Source organism: Homo sapiens, chromosome 12 (assembly GCF_000001405.40).
Source record: "Homo sapiens chromosome 12, GRCh38.p14 Primary Assembly".
NCBI classification, from domain to species: domain Eukaryota; kingdom Metazoa; phylum Chordata; class Mammalia; order Primates; family Hominidae; genus Homo; species Homo sapiens.
In genome coordinates, this window is record NC_000012.12 from 110,051,553 (window position 1) to 110,075,473 (window position 23,921).

Consider the following 23,921-nt stretch of genomic DNA (forward strand, 5'->3'; position numbering starts at 1 on the left):
AGTAGCTGGGATTACAGGCGCACGCCACCACACCAGGCTAATTTTTGTATTTTTAGTAGAGACAGGATTTCACCATGTTGGGCAGGCTGGTCTTGAACTCCTGACCTCATGATCTGCCTGCCTTGGCCTTCCAAAGTGTTGGGATTACAGGTGTGAGCCACCATGCCCGGCCCCCAATCCCATTCTTTAACATTGCCTAACATGGACCCTCATGGATAGGACAGCTTCTCAAGTCATAAAGTCCCACTCCAGTGGGTTCACCAGCTTGCACCTTCTAGTCAAAGGCTGTGTCTGGTGCATTTCCAGAAACACCCACCTGCTTTATCAATAACATTGAAAATGGCAGCTACTCTTTTTTTTTTTTTTTTTTTTTTTTTGAGATGGAGTCTCACTCTGTCGCCCAGGCTGGAGTGCAGTGCAAGCTCCGCCTCCTAGGTTCATGCCATTCTCCTGCCTCAGCCTCCCAAGTAGCTGGGACTACAGGTGCCCGCCACCACGCCTGGCTAATTTTTTGTATTTTTTTTTAGTAGAGACGGGGTTTCACCGTATTGGCTATGATGGTCTCGATCTCCTGACCTCATGATCCGCCCGCCTTGGCCTCCCAAAGTGCTGGGATTACAGGCATGAGCCACCGTGCCCGGCCTTCTTTTTTTTTTTTTGAGACGGAGTCTCGCTCTGTTGCCCAGGCTGGAGTGTAGTGGCACAATCATAGCTCACTGCAGCCTCCAACTCCTCAGCTCAAGTCGATCCTCCCACCTCAGCCTCCTGAGTAGCTGGAACTACAGGTGTGTACCACCACGCCTGGCTAATTTCTATTATTTTTTCTAGAAACAGGGGTCTCTTTATGTTGCCCAGGCTGGTCTCAAACTCATGGCCTCAAGCGATTCTCCACCTCAGCCTCCCAAAATGTTGTGGTTACAGGTGTGAGCCACCACACCAGGCTGCAGGAGCTACTCTTTATTGGGCACTTAATACGTGCCAAGTGCTCTACATGCAACATCCCCTTTAATCCTCACAACAGTAGGAGATAGTTACTGTGACTGATTACATGCATGTGCCATCGCGTCCAGCCTAAAGAGTTTGTTTTAAATGCTTTGTTTACTCATTCAGTTTATTTATTTAGTCCCTTCTTTCTGCCCAGCTGCTGAATAATATTAGCAAGTCTAAGATGATGGCTGCCCTGTATGAGCTGACCTTGGGAAGCTGAGACAGAGTGGGCCAAGACTCAGCCCCAGCTGTTCTCCACCTTGGCTATGTAACCACCCAGGGAGCTTTCAAAATTGCAGCTCCCCAGATCCATCCCTGGAGACTATGATTTCGTGAGTCTGGGGAGTTATCCAGATACCTATATATTTGTTAAAAGTTCATGGCTGGGCGCAGTGGCTCACGCCTGTATTCCCAGCACTTTGGGAGGCCAAGGTGGGCGGATCACAAGGTCAGGAGATCAAGACCATCCTGGCCAACATGGCGAAACCCTGTCTCTACTAAAAATAGGAAAATTACCTGGGCGTGGTGACACATGCCACCTACTCAGGAGGCTGAGGCAGGAGAATCACTTGAAGTCAGGAGGTGGAGGTTGCAGTAAGCCAATATCGTGCCACTGTACTCCAGCCTGATGACAGAGCTAGACTGTCTCAAAAAAAAAAAAAAAAGTTCCCAGGTGAGACTGGGCACGGTGGCTCACGCCTGTAATCCCAGCACCTTGGGAGGCCGAGGTGGGTGGATCACTCAAGACCAGAAGTTCGAGACCAGCCTGGCCAACATGGTGAAACTCCATCTCTACTAAAAATACAAAAATTAGCCAGGTTTGGTGGTGTGCACCTATAATCCCAGCTACTCCGGAGGCTGAGGCAGGAGAATTGCTTGAACCTGGGAGGCAAAGGTTGCAGTGAACCGAGATTGCACCACTGCACTCCAATCTGGGTCACAAAGCAAGACTCTGTCTTGGGGGGAAAACAAAAAAGTTCCCAGCTGATTCTAATGCATAGCCAGGGCTGAGGACCACTGGGAGGCTCCTGAAAAGATAGCTCATATTTGTCAATAGCAAGTACATTTGAAGAAGAGCATTCCTCATGACCCAGCAATAAAACTCTTATATATGTGCCCTAGAGAAACTCTTGTACATGTGCTGGAGTTATGGGCAAGAATGCTTCTGCAGCATTGCTTGTAAGAGGGAAAGCAAGACATAACCTAAATGTTCTCAAACAATAAATGGATAAATTGTTGGATTCATACAATGGGATGCTTTGGGCCAGGCGCGGTGGCTCATGCCTGTAATCCCAGTACTTTGGGAGGCTGAAGCAGGGGAATTGCTTGAGCCCAGGAGTTCGAGACCAGCCTGGACAACAGGACAAAACCCTGTCTTGACGAAAAATACAAAAATTAGCTGGGTGTGGTGGCACGAGCCTGTAGAGATGGAGGCCAAGGTGGGAGGATTGCTTGGGCCCAGGAGGTCAAGGCTATGGTAAGCTGTGATTGCACCCCTGCACTCCAGCCTGGGCGACAGAGCAAGACCCTGTCTCAAAAAAAATAATAAAATAAAATAATTTTAAAAATGGGATGCTTTGGAGCAGTGAAAATGAATTAACTAGAGCTGTGCATATCAACATGGAAATAACCTAACACTGAAAAAACAAAGCAAGCTGCAGTGTGATATAAAGTTTAGAGAAATCCAAAGCCACACCATGTACTCACAACTACCTATTCATGAATGTGCATAGCAGCACTATTCACATAACCCAAATGTTCATCTATGGATGAATGGATAGGCAAAATGTGGTCTATCCATTCAATGAGATATTATTCAGCCATAAAAAAGGAACAGGGTACTCATACATGCTATTACATCGATGAACCTTGAAAACATTATGTCTGCTACCTCAGAGAGGCTAGTCACAAAAGGCCACACATATTGATTGACTCCATTTATATGAAATACCCAGAATAGGTAAATCCATAGAGACAGAGAGTAGATTGGTAGTTGCAGGGGACAGAGGGAGGGAGAAATGGCGAGTGACTACTAATAGGCATGGGGTGTCCTTTTGGGGTGATGAAAATGATCTGGAACTAGATGTGGTGGTTGCACACCTCTCTGAAATGCCACTGAACTGTTCATGTTTACAGTGGTTAATTTTGTGTTATATGAACTTCACCCCAATAAAAAAGTAAAAATTATATTTTTTACATATGTAGACATATATGTGTTTAGAAATATAAAAACAAACAAGGGAATGACAAATGTCAAATTCAGGATTTCGTTTAGAGATGGAGTCTTGCTGTGTTGCCGAGGCTGGAACGCAGTGGCTATTTCACAGGTGCAGTCACAGCACACTACAGCCACAAACTCCTGGGCTCAAGAGATCCTCCAGTCTCAGCCTCCCAAATAGGTGGGACTGCAGGTGCAGCCACTGTGCCTGGCTGCAGGGTGTTTATAAAGGGAAAGGTCAGAGAATGAGATGAAGGATGAGTTTGCAGGGAGCAAAACTGGATTAGTAATGCTTTATTTGTTAAATTGGATGATGGTATGTGGGTGTTACATTATTCACAATACATTTTAGTATTTCTATAGCATTTATTTAAAAAGAAAGATTGTCAAGAAAGATGTTGAGCTAAGAGGTAAGAGATCCAGATTTGAGGCCTAATCAGCATATATGAGACGAAGCTTTTTTTTTTTTTTTTTGAGACAGAGTCTCCCTCTGTCACCCAGGCTGGAGTGCAGTGGCACTATCTCTGCTCACTGCAGCCTCCATCTCCTGGGTTCAAGCAATTCTCCTGCCTCAGCCTCCCTAGTATTACAGGCATGCGCCGCCACACCCAGCTATATTTTGTATTTTTAGTAGAGACAGGGTTTCACCATGTTGGCCAAGCTGGTCTCGAACTCCTGACTTCAGGTGATCCACCCACCTCAGCCTCCCAAAGTGTTGGGATTACAGGCGTGAGTCACCGTGCCTGGCAGAGACAGAGGTATTAAATAGAATTGTAACTGCTCAAAGGGTTCACCTTGCCTGCTGCCTAGACAGAGCCGATTCATCAAGACAGGGGAATTGCAATAGAAGAAGAGTAATTCGTGCAGAGCCAGCTGTGGGGGAGACCGGAGTTTTATTATTACTCAAATCTGTCTCCCCTAGCAATCAGGGAATGGAGTTTTTAAGGATAACTTGGTGGGTTGGGGGAAGCCAGTGTGCCAGGAGTGCTGATTGGTCAGAGATGAAATCATAGGGAGTCGAAGCTGTCTTCTTGTGCTGAGTCAGTTCCTGAGAAGGGGCCACAAGATCAGATGAGTCAGTTTACTGAGCTGATCCATCAAGTGCAGGGTCTGCAAAATATCTCAAGCACTGATCTTAGGAGCAGTTTAGGGAGGGTCAGAATCTTGTAGCCTCCAGCTGCATGACTCCTAAACCATCCCAACTACCTGGGAGGCTGAGGCAGGAAAATCGTTTGAACCTGGGAGGTAGAGATTGCAGTGAGCTGAGATTGCGCCATTGCACTCCAGCCTGGGCAACAGAGCCAGACTCTATCTCAAAAAAAAAAAAAAAAGTTTCAGTGCTGTGTCAAAGAAAAAAAAGAGGGAATGAAATCCAGTTTGCACACTTTACCTGTAGGAGGGGAATACTGTGATCACGAAACTGAGTTTGTGATGTCCTCCCTTTGGAAAGAAAGTACTAATGACCATCCCAGAAATACTATCCCGACCTTGCTTGGTGACTAAGGCAAGCCATGTCACCCTTCCAGGTGTTAGGTTTAATCCCTGAATGAAGAGAGAACTCTCAGCCTCCCTAACCCCAATGACCTTTTTGCTCTAAGAGGCTATAATTTTATGCATTCTACAGAAGGCAAAGCTGCTGGTGCCTGGAGCTAACAGGGGTGTGAAGAAGCTGAGGATTTTACTGGGCCGGGGAGGATGGGTAAATTTTGGGGGTGTGGTGGTGCATGCCTATAGTCACAGCTACTCATTAGGTGGAGGTGGGAGGATTCCTTGAGCCCAGGAGTTCAAGACCAGCCTGGGCAACACAGTAAGACTCCAGTCTCTTAAAAAGAAGAAGAAAAAGAGGAAAGCTGGAAAGAGTCTGGGAGGTAGAAGAGAGCTAATGGGAGAGAAGTTAGGGCCATTGATATGGTTTGGCTGTGTCCCCACCCAAATCTCATCTTGAATTGTAGCTCCCATAATTCCCACATGTTGTAGGAGGGACCTGGTGGGAGATAGTGACTAAGTCTTATGAGATCTGATGGTTTTATAAGAGGTTTCCCCTTTTGCTTGGCTCTTAGTCACTTGTTGCCTGCCACCACGTAAGACGTACTTTTCACTTTCCACCATGATTGTGAGGCCTTCCCAGCCATGTGGAACTGTGAGTCCATTAAACCTCTTTTCTTTGTAAATTACCTAGTCTCGAATATGTCTTTATTAGCAGCATGAGAACAGACAAATACATCCATCAAGGGGCACTCACAGGCAAGTCTGGATGAGGAGGAGCCCTGGAGTGGCAGGGAAATAAGGATGGAGGGTGAGGTTGAGCCCATGGAACCCTCAGGCTGCTTGTGCTGGACTCACCAGATGGAGACGAAGGTGTCCACCATAAAGTTGTTCTTCAGAGTCCCAATCCACATGCTCTGAATATAAGTGACTTTCGCAGACTTACCTTGGCATTGCAGGTAGGATGGGCCCCATGCCAGCATGGTTAGATTGTTCTTCAAGCTCTGCAGGGAGGATGTGCCTTTCAGCAAAGTTCCTCTCCCCCTTACAGCTCCTAAGGTTCCAGAGCAAAAGTAACACCAAAGGGCTGAGCCTCCAAAGTGAACTGCCCTCATATCCCTTACCTCATGACTAACCCAGGGCCAACAGACATCTTCATGGACCCCTAAAGAACAGTGGCGCCGGGCACTGTGCCTGCAGTGCGGCACGGAGAAGCTGAGCATGCAGCCTCTGCTTCTCTTTTTTAAAATCCCAAGAGGAGAATCTAATCAAGTCCATCCCTGGTCCTCTAGGCCATGGTGGGGGCTCAGCAAGGGTTGAGGACCCAAGAGATGCTCTGAGAAGAAAATGGGGGAGAGCCAGCACCCCCAAGGCAAGTTAAATCCCAATTATATTAGTTTCTGTAACAAATTACCACTAACTTAGTGGCTTTCAACAACACTAATGTATTCCTTTCCACTTTTGGGGGTTAGATTCCTAAAGTCAGTCTAACAGGGTAAAAATCAAGGGCTAAAAAGAAAAAATATAAATTAAGATCCCAGCTGGGCGCAGTGACTCACGCCTGTAATCCCAGCACTTTGGGAGGCCAAGGCAGGTGGATAACTCGAGGTCAGGAGTTTGAGACCAGCTTGCCCAACATGGCAAAACCCCGTCTTTACTAAAAATACAAAAATTAGCCAGGCACAGTGGTGGGCGCCTATAATCCCAGCTACTCGGGAGGCTGAGGTGGGAGAATCATTTGAACCCATGAGGCGGGGATTGCAGTGAGCCAAGATCACGCCATTGCAAACTCCAGCCTGAGCAACAGAGAGAGACTCGGTCTCAAAAAAAAAAAAAAAAAAAAAAAAAGAAGATCCCAGCACAAATCACTCAGGCAATCATTGTTGAAACTTTTGAGTGTCTTCTAGATATCTCTTTATGTCCACACCTAGACACACAAACAGATATACTGATGTTACAAACGTGGCCACACTACAGGCTGCAGGCTGTTTTGTAACTTGCTATTTTTACTCAATAATATGTTATTAATTCTTTCTATGACAGTAAAGATATCTGTGATAAAGATAGATCTATGATACACAATCATTTTCAGTGGCTAAAGAGTATCCTAGTGATTGAATATATGAAACTGCCCATTTTGGCAGGTCATGGTGCCTCACGCCTGTAATCCCAGCACTTTGGGAGGCCAAGGCGGGCAGATCACTTGAGGCCAGGAGTTCAAGACCAGGCTGGCCAACATGGCGGAAACCCTGTCTCTACTAAAAATGCAAAAATTATCCAGTTGTGGTGGTGCATGCTTGTAATCCCAGCTACTTGGGAGGCTGAGGCAGGAGAATCACTTGAACCTGGAAGGCGGAGGTTGCAGTGAGCCGAGATCATGCCACTGCACTGCACTTCAGCCTGGGCAACAGAGTGAGACTCTCTCTCCAAAAAAAAGAAAAGAAAGAAAGAACTGCCCATTTTGTAGGCCATAGCTATAGAATACAGGCAGTTCCATATGGCTCAAGCTAAGAGGTACATTGTGATAATTTGCCAGTCAGTCTCTGGGATAGATATTTAACTGTAACTTTTGTTCAATTTTCCCAATTATAAACAATTTTTGGTAACCCTAATATGTCCTTACCATGTGCCAACCACTCTTCTAAGTCTATTTTGCTGACATATATTAACTTTTGCAATTCTTACTCCCCCCCACCAAAAAAATGAAAACAAAAACCAACTCTATAAGGAAGGTGCTAGTATTACCTCCACCTAATAGCCGAACAAACTGTGGTATGAATGAAGCGAGAAGCTTGTCCAAGGTCACATGGTAAACAGCAGCGCCAGCTCTGAACGCAGCCATCTGGCTCCACAGCCTCAGCTCTCTTAAATGCTATGGTAAATGGAATTATTTTTCCAATTTCCTTTTCAAATGTTCCTTGCTGGTGTAAAAAAAAATGCACACACACAATTAATTTTTGTGTGTTGATCTTGTTCCTTGCGACTTTACTGAATTGGTTAATTAGCTCTATCTAATAGTTTTCTTGTGAATTCTTCGGGATTCTCCATATATGGGATTGTGCCATCTGTGATTAAAGATAGTTTTACTTCATTCTTTGCCATCTGGATGCCTTTTATTGCTTTTCTTGTCTAATTGCTCTGGCTAGAACTTCCAGTACAATGTTGAACAGCAGCGGTGAAAGCGGGCATCCTCGTCCTGTTCCTGATCTCAGGAAGAATGCACTCAGGCTATGCTCCTAACAACTGTGCTCACTGTCTGTCCACCCCACATTCATGTTGCCAGAAATCCCTGCACAAGCTTCTTCACACACCTAAGGCATTAAGTCTATACAGGACTTCTGGGTCAAAGGGTGTGCACATTTTCTATCTGAGTTTATTTTCCTAAATCATAAATGCTTGAACCATTTCATGCTTCCATCACCAAAGCAAGAGTGTGTACACTGCCTCTTAAGAGGGGCTTGACAAACAAGCGGTGTGAACTTGGTTGAGACAGTTGAGGGTCTGGTCGCCAGGCTGAGAGCACATGGCCTGTAGGATGGAGGCTGTGAGTTTGAAGAAGAGGAGAGACATAGTAGCAGTGTGCAGCCATTTGAAGAGGGACACAAGGCAAAACTAAGCAAAGGTGAAAGTTACAGGGGGAAAGATTTTGGCTCATTTTCTCAGGAAGAAAAGTGACAGGGCAGTCCCAGAGCAGAACAAGCTTTCCTTGTGGTTACTGCTGGTGATGGTGAGGAAGATGATGAAGATAATTTTCATTTACCACATCAACTTCCCTTTCTCTCCTGTCCCCTTTCCATCTGCACTTAACATCATTTCTCTACTAAAAATACAAAATTAGCCAGGCATGGTGGCACATGCCTGTATTCCCAGCTACTCAGAAAGCTGAGGCAGGAGAATAGCTTGAACCCCAGAGGCGGAGGTTGCGGTGAGCCGAGATCACCCCATTACACTCCAGCCTGTGCAACAAGAGTGAAACTCTGTCTCCAAAATACCCCCTCTTCAATCCCACATTCTCTTACCACCACTCCATGCCTCTCTTCTTCATAGCCAAGTCCCCTGAAAGAGTGAGTCATCATATCCATTTCTGCATCTCCATTCACTCCTCCGCCCACTCCAGTCTGGCTCCCACCCCCATCCCTTCTCTAAAGCCTCTCTTGCCAAGTAAACAACAACGTCATTGTCACTAAATCCAATAGACACACCACATAGCTGATCTTCCTGGAACTCTCAGCACCAGTTGACACTGTGACCATGCCCCACCTCCCTCACCTCCTTCCCTTAGCTTGCAGGAATCCACCTTTGCCTGACTTTCATTGGATCTCTGTGGCTACTCCTTCTCAGAATCCTTTGGGGACTTCAGCACTCCCACCCCTTAAAGGTTAGCCCTTCTCCGGGGTCGGTTCTAGGCCCTCTTGCTTTCTCATCTACTTCTTCTCTTGCTGGTGAATTGCAGCTTCTTCCATGGTTCTAGTTCCCATCTATATGCTGGTGATATAGAAACCTACATCTCAGGCCAGGCGCAGTGGTTCATGCCTGAAATCCCAGCACTTTGGGAGGCTGAGGTGGGCGGATCACCTGAGGCCAGGAGTTCAAGACCAGCCTGCCCAACATGGTGAAACCCAATCTCTACTAAAAATACAAAATTAGCCAGGTGTGGTGGCGGGCACCTGTAATCCCAGCTACTCAGGAGGCTGAGACAGGAGAATCACTTGAGCCCGGGAGGCGGAGGATGCAGTGAGCTAAGATCGCACAACTGCCCTCATATCCCTTAGCTCATTGCAATAGAGGAAGAGTAATTCATGCAGAGCCAGCTCTGTGGGGGAGACCAGAGACTCTGACTCAAAAAAAAAAAAAAAAAAGAAACCTACATCTCAGCTCCAGATTCATATATCCAACCACCTATTCAACATCTACATGCATATGTTCCATGAACACTTCGAACTCAATGCCTTCAGTTCTGACCTCATCTTCCACCCCAAATTGGCTCTTTCTCCTGCATTTCCTATCCCAGCAAGTTATTCCAGCACCTATCAGTTGTCCAAGCCAGAAACATGGCACACTCCTTGACTCATTCTCTCCCTCTTTCCCCCTCACCCATTCAGTTGCCAAATCCTACTGTTTTACCTTTCTAATATTGCTCGAAGTCATCTACTTCTCTCCTCTGCCTCTACTACCTCCTCAGTCCAGGTCACCATCAGCTTTCCTATCTGGACAACCCAATGGTCTCCTAAATGGTCTCCTTTCCTCCAGTCTTACCCTGTCCCCTCCACTCTCTATACTGCACACTGCATACTTTTTTTTTTTTTTTTCTTGAAACGGAGTCTTACTCTGTCACCCAGGCTGGAGTGCAGCAGCAAGATCTTGGCTCACCGCAACCTCTGCTGCCTGTGTTCAAGTGATTCTCCTGCCTCAGCCTCCTGAGTAGCTGGGATTACAGGCATCTGCCCCCACGCTCAGCTAATTTTTGTAGTTTTTAGTAGAGATGGGGTTTCACCATCTTGGCCAGGCTGGCCTTGAACTCCTGACCTCGTGATCCACCCGCCTCAGCCTCCCAAAGTGCTGGGATTACAGGTGTGAGCCACCACTCCCAGCCTACACTGCATACTTTAATGAGAGCATGGACTATGGTGTGAGATGCTTAGGTTCAATCTCAGCTCTACCACTTACTGGCTACACGACCTTGGACAAGTGACTTAACCTTTCTGAGTCATTGTTTCTTCTGTAATAAGAGGATATTAGGGCCCAGCGTGGTGGCTCATGCCTGTAACCCCAGCACTTTGGGAGGCCGAGGTGGGTGGATCATTTGAAGTCAGGAGTTCGAGACCAGTTTGGCCAACGTGGTAAGACCCCCTCTCTACTAAAACTACAAAAATTAGCTGGGCGTGGTGGCGCACGCCTGTAATCCCAGCTACTTAGGAAGCTGAGATAGGAGAATCGTTTGAACCCAGGAAGCAGAGGTTGCAGTGAGCCAAGATCGTGCCACTCCACTCCAGCCTGAGTGATTGAGTGAGACTCCATCTCCCAAAAAAGAAGATATTAGTATTGTATTCGGCAGGGTTTCCAGTTTTAAACAACAGAATTTACTCTGCTGAATTTAAGAAGAAAGATTGTCCAGGAAAGACAAATCTATAGAGGCATAGAGTAGATTCATGGTTGCCTGGGTTGAGCAACCATGGGGAGAGAGTGGGAGTGGGGAGTGACTGTTAATGGGTATGAGGGCTCTTACTAGGCTGATGAAATGTTCTAAAACTGGATCACGGTAATGGTTGAACAACTTGGTAAATTTACTAAAAGTCATTGAAATGTGTATTTAAAATGGGTGATTTTATGATATGTAAGTTATACCTCAATAAAGTTGAGAAAAATATAGAAAAAAAGAGATTTTTTTTTTTTTTGAGACAGGGTCTCACTCTGTCGCCTAGGCTGGAGTCTAGTGGCATAAACACGACTCACTGCAGCCTCAACTTCCCAGGATCAAGCGATCCTCCCACCTCAGCCTCCCCAGTAGCTGGAACTACAGGTGTGCACCACCATGCCCAGCTAATATTTTTTTTTTTTTTTTTTTTTTTTTTTTAGAGATGGGATCTCAATTTGTTGCTCAGCTGTTCTCAACTGGTCTCAAACTCCTGGGCTCAAGCAATCCTCCCATCTCAGCCTCCCAAAGTGCTGGGATTATAGGGGTGAACCCCTGCAGCGGGCTGAATAAAGAGATTTTTTTTTTAGAGTCTCGCTTGGCTGCCCAGGCTGGAGTGCAGTGGTATGTCTCAGCTCACTGCAACCTCCGCCTCCCAGGTTCAAGTGATTCTCCTGCCTCAGGCGCCTGAGTAGCTGGGATTACATGCACCTGCCACCACGCCCAGCTAATTTTTGTATTTTTAGTAGACACAGGGTTTCACCATGTTGGCCAGGCTGGTCTTGAACTCCTGACCTCAAGTGATCCGCCCGCCTCAGCCTCCCAAAGTGCTGGGGTTACAGGCATGAGCCACCACACCCAGCCCCCCTTTTTTAATTTAATTTTTAAAATTGTCTCAATATTTTTATTTATTTTTTATTGTTTTGAGACGAAGTTTTGCTCTCATCACCCAGGGTGGGGTGCAGTGGTGCAATCTCAGCTCACTGCAACTGCTGCCTCCCGGGGTCAAGCGATTTTCCTGCCTCAGCCTCCGAGTAGCTGGGATTACAGGTGCCTACCACTACGCCTGGCTAATTTTTGTATTTTTTTTTTTTAGTAGAGATGGGGTTTCACCATGTTGGTCAGGCTGGTCTCAAACTCTGGACCTCAAGTGATCCACCTGCCTTGGCCTCCCGAAGTGCTGGGATTACAGGTATAAGCCACCACGCCTGGTGAGGGATTTTTATTTTTATTTATTTATTTATTTATTTATTTATTTATTTATTTATTGAGACCGAGTTTTGCTCTTGTTGCCCAGGCTGGAGTGCAATGGTGTGATCTCAGCTCACTGCAATGCCCGCCTCCCAGGTTCAAGCGATTCTCCAGCCTCAGGCTCCCAAGTATTAGCCAGGCATGATGACGGGTGCCTATAATTCCAGCTACTTGGGAGGCTGAGACAGGAGAATTGCCTGAACCCAGGAGGCAGAGGTTGCTGTGAGCCAAGATCACGCCACTGCAGTCCAGCCTGGGCAACATAGCAAGACTCTGTCTCAAAACAAACAAACAAACGAACAAACAAACAAACAAACCAATGAGCTTGGAAGTGACTTTTCCCCAGAGTCTCCAGACAAGAACTCAGCCCGCTGATGCCTTGATTTAGGCCTGTGGGACTGTGTTAGTTTCCACCGCTGTGTAACAAATAGAAACTCATACAGCCTCAGACAATCCTCATTCCATAGGGGAGCTAGCAGTCTGCAGAGGAACAGAGTGGGGCCCTTTAAGGCATGGGGTCCAGGGAAAGGGATCCCCTATTGTATGGGTCAAAGGGCAATACTTCCCTCTATTCCTGAATTTGAATTCTGCTCATACCCAGCATCCCATGTGATTCCTTGTATATGGAAGTGTTGCCTGGGGCATATTTTTGGAAAGCTTGGGTCTCATACTGTGTCCTAGCTGCAAGGGAACCTGGGACATTCAGTTGTGACATGTATTAGGGAGTGGAACTCATAATACAGAGAGTTCCCCAAACATGTGGCCGTTCAGGTCATGATCAACCACTCCGACAACCAATATTATAGGATTATGTAGGAGGATCAAATAGGCCAATACATGTCACATGCTAAGAATGGAACCCAGCACATGCTAAGACCTCAGCAGCACTCAGTAGCTGTTATGTTTCAAGCAAAATAATGTCTTTAAAATGAAAATAGCGTAAAACCTTTCATGTTTTCTGTATGTTTGAATATTTTCTACTAAGATGCTGGGGTTTGGGGGGACAGCTCTCCATGCTTTCTCAGTGCCCCCCAGATGCAGCTCAAGGTGCTCCACGATCTCACCCCTGCTAGCTTCCCCAGCCCCACCTTGGCCTCGCCTTCTCGGCCACTGTACACGCCAGTTGCAGGCCTGTGAAGAAGCCAGACAAATTGCTCCTTCCTCTTCTCAACACTGTGCTACCCAAGCAGGAGGGCTGAGAGGCTCCAGTGCAGGGTGGGAGGCTGGGCTGGGGCGGTATCCCCAGTGGCCTGTGGGTGCAGGAGAGAAGCCTCCATCCTTGCCCCTCAAAACAAGAAAACCAGATACCAAGGCAGCTTTTCATAAGGCTATAGCCATTCATTTGAAAAAACCATGCTTATCTTTTGAGATAATGTGCTTTCAGCTATTTGGGTGTTTTGGTGTTAGACATGAACAAAGGGATGAAGATAGATGGTAGTAGGCGGTGTTTAATTGCTTGCCTGAGATCCTTTATTTATTTATTATTATTTTTATTATATATGTATACATATATGTGTGTGTGTGTATATGTGCATATATATATATACACATTTTTTTTTTTTGAGACTGAGTCTCGCTGTATCACCCAGGCTGGAGTGCAGTGGTGCAATCTCGGCTCGCTGCAACCTCCGCCTCCTGGATTCAAGCAATTTTTGTGCCTCAGCCTCCCGAGTAGCTGGGATTACAGGCACCTGCCACCACGCCCAGCTAATTTTTGTATTTTTAGTAGAGACGGGGTTTTGCGACATTGGCCAGGCTGGTCTCGAACTCTTGACCTCAGGTGATCTGCCCGCCTTGGCCTCTCAAAGTGCGGGATTACTGGAGTGAGCCACCGTGCCCACTCCTTGATCTCTCCTCAAGTTGGTAAAAGGCATCATCAATCCCTCAGGAATCCGGAGCCATCCTTCACCTCCTAGCAAATCCATCAGTTCTGCCTCCAAAACACATCCCAGCTTTGTCCACATCTCTCTGGCTCCACCATCCCATTCCAGCCCAAGTCTCCATCCCTTGCATCTGGTGACTCCAGCAACCTTCTCACTGGTCCCTCACCGTCATTCTGGTCCCACCACACTCTATGCTCTGCACAGTGGCCCATGAGAGCTTCTAGAAACATGAGTCAGATGGTTTCACTTCTCTGCATAATACTTTTCAGTGGCTTCCCATGGCACTGAAAATCAAATTCCAACTCTTCCCCTGTCCTGCCCCCTGGTCTGGCTCTACCCTCCTCTCTTACCAGGTTCTGGAACATGCTGTCCTTGCTGTTCCTCTTTTGTGCTTCCAGATCTTTGCATTTACTGTTCTCTTGGTCCCGTGTATCACGTGGCTGGATTCTTCTCCTTCTATGGGGTCACCTCCAGAACTGGGTCATCTCTGACCTTCTGACCTCCCCCTCAAGCTCTCACATCACCTAGGTGTCAAGGGTGGGATGAGAATGTGGCAGACCTCATGTTTCTATTTCCCCGAAGATGGTCAGGGGCAGGCCGGGCGCGGTAGCTCACAATTTGGGAGGCCGAGGCAGGCGGATCACTTGAGGCCAGGAGTTCAAGACCAGCCTGGCCAACATGGCGAAGCCCTATCTCTACTAAAATTACAAAAATTAGCCTGGTGTGGTGGCACACGCCTGTAGTCCCATCTACTCGGGAGGCTGAGGCAGAATCACGTGAATCCAGGGGGCAGGGGTTGCAGTGAGCCAAGATCATGTCACTGCACTCCAGCCTAGGTGACAAAGCAAGACTCCATCTAAAAAAAAAAAAAAAAAAAAAAAAAAAAAAAAAAAAACGGCTGGGCGCGGTGGCTCACGCCTGTAATCCCAGCACTTTGGGAGGCCGAGGCCAGCAGATCACCTGAGGTCGGGAGTTTGAGACCAGCCTGACCAACATGGAGAAACCCCATCTCTACTAAAAATACAAAATTAGTAGGGCGTGGTGGCGCATGCCTGTAATCCCAGCTAACTCGGGAGGCTGAAGCAAGAGAATCGCTTGAACCCGGGAGGCGGAGGTTGCCGTGAGCCAAGATCGCGCCATTTCACTTCAGCCTGGGCAACAAGAGCAAAACTCTGTCTCAAAAAAAGAAAAAAAAAATCGGGAGCAGAGGGGCCACGCTTGAGTTGGATTTGCTCCTCCTGGTGTCTGGTGCCTCCCCGACCTCCGTGCTGGGCTCACTTCTATTCAGCTGGAGGAGGCCCAGACCCACAGGTGTGTGGCCACCCACTGGGAAATAGGTGTCCAGCCAGGAGCTCCATTTTAATAGCCACGAACTGGTACAGCAACACCATCTCCATGGCGACGGCCAGCCTGGGACCACGAATGAGAACACAGGCTCACTATTGGCCCCAGTGGAGGCTAACTGGGCAGAGGAGAAGCAGCACCTGTGAGTGGAGTTTGTTCTCCTGTCCCTCTCTCAACCTTCCCTAGTCTGTGGCCATTGGAAAAGCTTCTGTGAGGACTGTTCTCCAGGGAAGAGGGAAATCTTCCCAAGAGAATGCAACCATCTTTTATTCCTTTGCTTACAATCTTCCCATGGCTTCTCAACTCACTCGGAATAAAATCTAAAGAATTCTCCTAGGTGGTGCCATCGTAAGCGGCTTGGTTTAAGCAATAGCTTGGTGGTCACAGAAAACAAATAGTAGTTAAGTACCAAGGTGAGCTGGCAGCCTCTGTGGGCCAAGTCGCACATCCCAAATGAGCAGGTCTTCTGGTGGGACTGAGGAAGGAACCAAGGTAAGAATAGGAGCTCAACAATTACCTAGATAGAGTCTCCACAGCCCAGACAAGCCAGGACTAGAGAAGTAGACTTCAGAAATCCCTGGAATTTCTGGCTTTTGGGAAGACCTTGTAACAGATCACTGTATTTTGTCTGCCTACCCTCCTCACTTCCTTTTCCCATTTTGTCTGGTAACAGGATCTTCCTTCCTAAGGAAAATCCACTGGATGTGGTTCAGTAGGGCTCACACTGCTCCGTCATCTTCTCGAACTCCAGACCTCAGGTGATCCACCCACCTCGGCCTCTCAAAGTATTGGGATTACAGGGGTGAGCCACTGCACCCGGCCGGCTCAGTCATCTTCTCCCTATTTCCTGCCACAGGAACCAGCACATGACCCAGACTGGCCAATGGGATGACACCTTGGCCCAGGCGGTGATTGGTTCAGGGATGGATATGTAATTCACACCCAACCAATCAGAGTCTTTCCCGGGACTTTCCTAACAGAGCATCAGGAAAGACTTGTTGGCTCCTCTGAGGTTGCTAAGAAGAGAATGTAAGGATTTCATGCTACATAGAGAGCTGTTCAAGAAGGAAGCCAAAGGCCGGGTGCGGTGGCTCACGCCTGTAATCCCAGCACTTTGGGAGGCTGAGGCAGGCGGATCACCTGAGGTCGGGAGTTTGAGACCAGCCTGACCAACATGGTTAAACCCTGTCTCTACTAAAAATACAAAAAATTAGCTGGGCGTAGTGGGGCATGCCAGCTACTCAGGAGGCTGAGGCAGGAGAATCGTTTGAACCCGGGAGGCAGAGGTTGTGGCGAGCCAAGATCGCGCCATTGCACTCCAGCCTAGGCAACAAGAGGGAAACTCCGTCTCAAAAAAGAAGAAGAAGGAGAAGGAGAAGAGAAGAAGAAGAAGAAAGAAGAAGAAGAAGAAGAAGAAGAAGAAGAAGAAGAAGAAGAAGAAGAAGAAGAAGAAGAAGAAGAAGAAGAAGAAGAAGAAGGCGGCCAAATAGAAGCAAATGGAACCAAGACGTAGGGAGAGAGAACCTACCTGATGACATAGTGTGAACCCTTATCTTCATCCATGTCCAAGGACAGCACAATCTCTTCAACTGCCCAGTTACATGATTCAATAAATTCCCCTTTGAGGCTTTGTGGTTAACGTAAGCTGGGTTTCTGTCACTTACTGCGCAAACAATCCTGGCTAACATAGACCTGCTTAGCATCCTATCTACATAAACCTGCAACGCTAACTCCTCTTGTAGCTGCATCCCTGCCTCTGACTCCAGATCTGAACTTAGTTGTGAGAATAGAAGAAGCTGGACAGGTTCTTGTTTAATTTCCCCCATAACCAGTCCCCAGTTTCTATCCCAGTTTCAGTAACTGAGGCCCTGTCTCCTTATTCTGGCTCTTTATCCTTCCAGCCCCAGTAGGGACAGCTGGCCAAAACCTGCCACTTGCTACTGTAACCTGAACATTGCTCTAGCCTGTCTGGATTGCCACCTATGGTCCACACCAGTACTACTTGGTGCAAACTACTTCCGCCAATCCCTACACCCCATTGGTATACCCGCTACACAGATGGCTAAGTCATGGTTACATAAACTTAAGGCTTCACACTGCAACTTAAGGCAGCATTTCCCAAGCTGTGTACTGTGAGACTCCATTTGGTGAGATGATAGTAGATAGTCCATTAACAAAGAGGAAAAAAGCAAACTGGCAATAGTTTTTTCTTCAATTTTATATTTTAAAATATAAACTGTGGAGAAACGTTTTACATGGAGGTTATCTTCTAAAGACGGCACTTCAGATAAAAATCATGGCTCATCGCCAGGCACGGTGCCTCACGCCTGTAATCCCAGCATTTTGGGAGGCCAAGGCGGGCGGATCACGAGGTCAGGAGATCGTGACCATCCTGGCTATCATGGTGAAACCCTGTCTCTACTAAAAATACAAAAAATTAGCGGGACATGGTGGCGGGCGCCTGTAGTCCCAGCTACCCGGGAGGCTGAGACAGGAGAATGGCCGGAACCCGGGAGGCGGAGCTTGCAATGAGCCGAGATCACACCATCGCACTCCAGCCTGGGTGACACAGCGAGACTCCGTCTCAAAACAAACAAACAAACAAAAAAACCCATGGCTTATCAAAATTGCCTTTTAAACCCTTAAATTGTCCACATAGCACAGCAAACAACTCCTTCTTCCCAGTGGGTCCACTGGAGCCAATTTCTAGCTCCGGAACAAGTTGCTGTTATTACAGTTTTGCTCCAGGTGAAGGTGAAGGAATTGGCTTATTTTAGGGGTCATGTGGCTGAAAATTATGTACCTAGATTTAAAGGCAGAGCAGCAAGATGCTCACTCTGTGAGAAGCACATGAGAACAGAGAATGATGGAGGGAACCCCCAGATGCAAGTATCCCATTTCACACTTACTCCAGGGAACCCAGTTGCTGAATAATTGTACTAGTTATATTATTCTCTCTCTCCATGTCCCCATGGAACATGTATAACTGAATTTGAGGGAGTTAAATACATGTAAGTTATGATTTCATCATGTGAAAGAAAAATATTCATCATTATAAGGTGTTCTCATAGTAATGTTTTTATATATACAATGATCTGCTTTTAAAAAATTGTGGGCTGGGCATGGTGGCTCACACTGTAATCCCAGCACTTTGGGAGGCCAAGATGGATGGACTGCTTGAGCTCAGGAGTTCAAGACCAGCCTGGACAACACGGTGAAACCCTGTCTCTACCAAAAATACAAAAAAATTAGCTGGGCGTGGTGGTTCCAGCTACTCAGGAGGTTGAGGTGGGAAGACTGCTTGAACCTGGGAAGCAGAGCTTGCAGTGAGCCAAGATCATGCCATTGCACTCCAGCCTAGGTGACAGAGTAAGACCCCATTTCAAAAAAAAAAAAAGAAAAAGAAAAAGAAAAGAAAAGAAATTGTAGGTCAGGAACGGTGGTTCACACCTATAATCCCAGCACTTTGGGAGGCCAAGATAGGAGGATTGCCTGAGGCCAGGAGTTTGAGACCAGCCTGGGCAACATAAGGAAAGCCCTGTCTCTACAAAAACAATAAAAAATTAGCCAGGCGTCATGGCATGTGCCTATGGTCCCAGCTACTTGGGAGGATGAGGCAGGAGGATCACATGAGCCTGAGAAGTTGAGGCTGCAGTGAGCTGTGATCACGCCACTGCACTCCAGCCTAGTGACATAGTGTGACCCTCTCTCACTTTTTAGAGAAAAAAGTAAGAAAGAAAGAAATTGTATGCTGGGCCCAGGAATGTCAGGAAGTCCCATCACCTGCTACATGGAATTATGACATGTAATCCCTGTATTAATGCAGAAGGGGGCATTTACTAATTATGCTCTTTTCCATTGGTCCTATGATAGCTGCTCTAAGTAATATGTCTTGTTTTCGATTTCAGCATGTTTTGTTTTGTTTTTGTTTTTGTTTTTGAGATGGAGTCTTGCTCTGTCATTCAGGCTGGAATGAAGTGGCATGATCTCAGCTCACTGCAACCTCCACCTCCCAGATTCAAGCAATTCTTGTGCCTCAGCTTACCGAGTAGCTGGAATTATAGACACACACTACCCCGCCCAACTAGCTTTTGTATTTTTAGTAAAGACGGAGTTCCACCATGTTGGCCAGGCTGGTCTCAAACTCCTGACCTTAGGTGATTTGCCTGCCTTGGCCTCCCAAAGTGCTGGGATTACAGGCATGAGCCACCATGCCCGGCCCAGTGTATATGTTTATCATTCAATATTTGTTGAGTAGTAAAAATAGGAATCAAATAATGATAATCCTAATGATAGCATTATTAAAAATAAAAACTAACACTTAATAAGGGCTTGCTATGTGCCATATATTTCTTGAACAACTTTGCATTTATTAGTTCATTTAATATTCCTAACAATTCTCCCCATTTTACAGATGAGGAAACCAAGGCTCAAAGAGGTGAAGGATTTTAGAATCCACATTTCCAGATCTCAAATTCCAAACTTGGACATGGTTACTCTGAGGGTCAAAGGAGAGGATGTATATAAAAATACATACATGTATTTTGTATACAAATATATATATATAATACATTCAAAAAGATTATTTTAAAAAATGGATTCCAGTTATGGAGCTCTTATTCTATGTCAATCATCATGATAAGGGCTCCTCATGCCTTTTTTTTTGTTTAATTGTCACAACCCTATGAACAGATGCAGAAACAGAGGCTCAGAGAAGTTAATGACTTGGCCAAGAAGACACAGCCAGTATTATAAAATAAGTTGCCTTGACTCTTAGTAAACTACACTGCCACCCTCTATAAGTATAGGTTGTCATCATCATCATCATCATCAACATCATCATCATCATCACAGAGAATAAGAGGCAGTCACTCCCAGGGAAATGCAAATCAGAACCACAATGAACTACCACTGCACACCCACAAGCATGGCTATAATTAAAAAGACAGACAATAACAAGAGTTGGTGAGGATGTGGAGAAACTGGACCCCTCATACTCTGCTGGTGGGAATGTAAAAGGGTGCAGCTGCTGTGAAATTCAGCTCCACAGTTCCTCCAAGGGTGAAACATAGTTAACATATGACCCAGCAATTCCACTCTTAGGTACATATTCAAGGGAAATGAGAATATATATCCACATAAAACCTTGTTCGCAATGTTTATGGAAGCATTATTCATGATAGCCAAAAAAGAGAAACAACCAAAATGTCCATCAATGGATGAATGGATACATAAAAGTGTTCCATCCATGCAATGGAATATTACTCAGCCATAAAAAGGAATGAAGTGTCAGCCAGGTATGGTGGCTCACGCCTGTAATCCTAATACTTCAGGAGGCTGAGGTGGGAGGATTGCATGAGTGCTGGAGTTTGAGACCAACCTGGGCAACATAGTGAGACCCCAAATCTAAAAAAAAAAAAAAAGTAATGAAGTATCAACATGTTACAACAGCTACAACATGGATGAGCACCGAAAACATGCTAAGTGAAAAAAAGCCAGCCACAAAGGACCACATATTGTGTGAGTCCATTTACATGAAATGTCCAGAATAGGTAAATCCATAGAGGCAGAAAGCAGATTCATGGGTGGGAAGGAGGGGGAATGGTGTTGGAAATGATGGCAAAGGAGTGTGGGTTTTTTTTGTTTTTTTTTTGAGTTGATGAAAATATTCTCAAATTGATTGTGGGGATGCTTGCACAACTCTGTGAATAATCTGAAAACCATTAAATTGTACCCTTAAATGGTGAATTGCATGGTGTACTGTTTCTTTTAGAAAAAACAAAAACCAGCCAGACACGGTGGCTCACGCCTATAATCCCAGCACTTTGGAAGGCTGAGGCAGGTGGATCACATGAGGTCAGGAGTTCTAGACCAGCCTGGCCAACATGGCGAAACCCCGTTTCTACTAAAAATACAAAAATTAGCTGGGCTTGGTGGCAGGCACCTGTAATCCCAGCTTACTTGGTGGCGGGGGAGGATAGCGTGTGGGCAGGTGGAGGCAGGCGAATCTCCTGAACCCAGGAGGCGGAGGTTGCAGTGAGCCAAGATCACACTGTCACACTCCAGCCTGGGGTACAAGAGCGAGACTTCATCTCAAAAAAAAAAAAAGAAAAAAGAAAAGAAAAAGAAAAAAACAAAAGGCAGGTGTTGGTGACCTGAAGTTAAAATACATTTATAAACCTGGTCCTATTCTTCCCAAGCACGGTGACTCAAATGCCAGCCTGATCACCAGGAGTGCCCTGAGATCCTTGCCTCCTCCCTGGGAATCCAGGATGTTGCCCTGCGCTTTCCCACCTTCCCCAGGCACACCCTGCCCTGCTCTCCCTGGCGGGCCTGGAGTAGATCAGAAATGAATCCCGCTCGCCTTCCATGGCTTCTCTCTGCTGCAGCCTGGCACCATTTCCTCTTGCCTGATGCTGCTTCCTCCCTCCCGCCCGGTTTGCTGTGAAAGCACGTCCAAATTTGAAAACCATGTGAGATTCAGAATGTGCACCTGAAGCTGCCCCCTGGGGCTTTCTGTGCTGTCAACCACTGCAGAGATCTGGGGTCCTCCCTGCATCCCACTTACCTAACATAGGAAAAGACGATCACGTGGAAGAACTTAATGGTGCCATAATTGATGCTTTGGATCCGGGCGACTTTGTTTGTCTCATACAGGAAAACATCACTGCAGCTGCAGCAGGCTGGCACGGTTACAGCCTCCCTTCCTGCGCGGGGCTGGACCAGGGCTCAACTCTCCCAGATGGGGCCACAGCAAGCCCCCTCCCAGTAACTGCAAAATGAAACATACTGATTTTTAGCGGGAGCCTTTAACTTTGAGCTCTTCCAATGACTGTGGAGTGGGGGCGGGCCCTGGCAGTTGCCCCAGATGTGACTTCGATAAACAAGAAGGGCCAAGTCCTAAGGGCCTGGTTGGCAGATGACCTCGCCCCAGCTGGCCTCCCCCAGATGCCTACACAAAGATGGTATTCAGAGGATGGGCATTTTTAGAATTCTCCTTTTTTCCCCCTTTCCTTTCGCTTTTTTGGACTCATTTCTGTTGGGAAAAGGGGGCAGCCCTGCAAATGTCACAAGACCCAGAGCTTCGATTGTACCTCAGAAAAGGGCTGAGATCTTTCCATTGCCTCAAGCCCCACTCAGAGATTGATTCATTCATTTCTACAACCCTTTATTCAGCCCCTGATATATAGGAGCTCTGGGTAAATAAAGGTCTCCCCTTCTTCTTCTACCAGCCCTTATAATATTCTGGTCTGTAGCTACCAGCCCTTATGATATTCTGGTCTGCAGTTGGTGGGGAAAATCAGATTTGCAGGAGTGGGGATGCTAGGGGTGGAGGGGTTTTATTTATCTGCAGGATCTTTCTCGCTTGACCCTCTGAGTTACTCTCCACCCTGCTCTGTGCCCCGGAAGTTCAACCCATGACCTAGATCAATCAGCCCAAGATCACCAGGGACCAAGTGGCAGCCCAACAAAGCTAGGTTTATTGATCTATTCCATGAGGGACGCCACCCACCAGATGAGCCTCAGGACATCACCAAACAGTGGAAGACAGCGATTTATTACAGGATTCCGAGGAAAGTGGAGTTTAGATAAAATCCAAATGAAGTCATGTTTTGATAGACTCAAAGCAAAGCAGGCTTGTACAAAGCAGTCAACCTCAAATCTGGATTGCAAAGGGGACCCAGGGCCCTGTTTTCTTGAAAGCAACAAAGCTAAGATAAATGTCAAATGTGTCCAGAAACTCTTTATCTGAATCTCTGCTCCTAAGTTGTAAATTGAGGCTGCTTCTCCGTGTCAAGATGACTTAGATCCTCCAGGCAAAATTGGAATATTTCAATCTTAGTCACATAATTTCAAACAGCAAACTTTCTGATGGTCTGTGATTTTAAAGGACAATGTTTCAGCAGTCACTCAAAGACAGGGGTGGGGTAATATTATAACTTTACAGCTACAAAGAAATATTGTTTCCTGTTATCTTTGCAGCTGACTTGATCCATTTCTGTTACTCCAGTCTGCTAAGTGGCCAGGTAGATTTTTACTTTTCCAGTCTGAGCTAATTTGTACATTCCCACCCACACTAACTGTATCAGGGTCCCCCCCTCCCAACCCCCCGCCCCCGACCCCTGGCTTCCAGTTCAGGAGACTGGAGAGCAGTGAGGATGGACGTGACTCCAGGCCCTACCCTTCTCAGTTCCATATAGGCGGGGCTTCTGGGCACTACTCCCTCCTTTAGTCCTGGGAGTGGTAAGGGTTCCCCACTCTTGCCAGCCCCAGGCAGCTCACTATCTCTTATTGCTTTTTCTTTTCTTTTCTTTTCTTTTTTTTGAGACGGAGTCTCGCTCTGTCGCCCAGGCTGGAGTGCAGTGGCACAATCTCGGTTCACTGCAAGCTCCGTCTCCCGGTTCATGCCGTTCTCCCGCCTCAGTCTCCCAAGTAGCTGGGACTACAGGCGTCCACTACCACGCCCAGCTAATTTTGTTTTTATATTTTCAGTAGAGACGGGGTTTCTCCGTGTTAGCCAGGATGGTCTTGATCTCCTGACCTTGTGATCCGTCCGCCTCAGCCTCCCAAACTGCTGGGATTACAGGCGTGAGCCACCGCGCCCCCCCCCACCACCTTA

General features: G+C 46.7%; 1 protein-coding gene across 2 annotated transcripts in view, besides 2 other annotated features; it reads right to left on the reverse strand.

Annotated features, from left to right (window-relative positions):
- C12orf76 (chromosome 12 open reading frame 76) overlaps positions 1–22,083 on the reverse strand; it is a 32,459-nt gene extending 10,376 nt beyond the window's left edge. Inside the window, exons 1-3 of one of the 2 annotated variants that reach the window (NR_148514.2) lie at positions 21,870–22,083; positions 7,436–7,611; positions 5,637–5,744 (exon numbers count right to left, since the gene is read on the reverse strand). The gene's annotated coding sequence lies outside the window, so the exon portion shown is untranslated. Of the gene's footprint in view, positions 1–5,636; positions 5,745–7,435; positions 7,612–14,307; positions 14,482–21,869 lie in introns of both variants that reach the window. The other variant, NR_148515.2, reaches the window with a different exon arrangement.
- Positions 14,241–14,330: an enhancer, noted in NCBI's record as "active region_6994". NCBI's record gives its function as "activates an Ori minimal core promoter by ATAC-STARR-seq in GM12878 lymphoblastoid cells {active_cell/tissue: GM12878}" and the evidence as "EXISTENCE:reporter gene assay evidence [ECO:0000049][PMID:35858748]".
- Positions 14,401–14,480: an enhancer, noted in NCBI's record as "active region_6995". NCBI's record gives its function as "activates an Ori minimal core promoter by ATAC-STARR-seq in GM12878 lymphoblastoid cells {active_cell/tissue: GM12878}" and the evidence as "EXISTENCE:reporter gene assay evidence [ECO:0000049][PMID:35858748]".
- Positions 22,084–23,921: the final 1,838 nt, after the last annotated feature.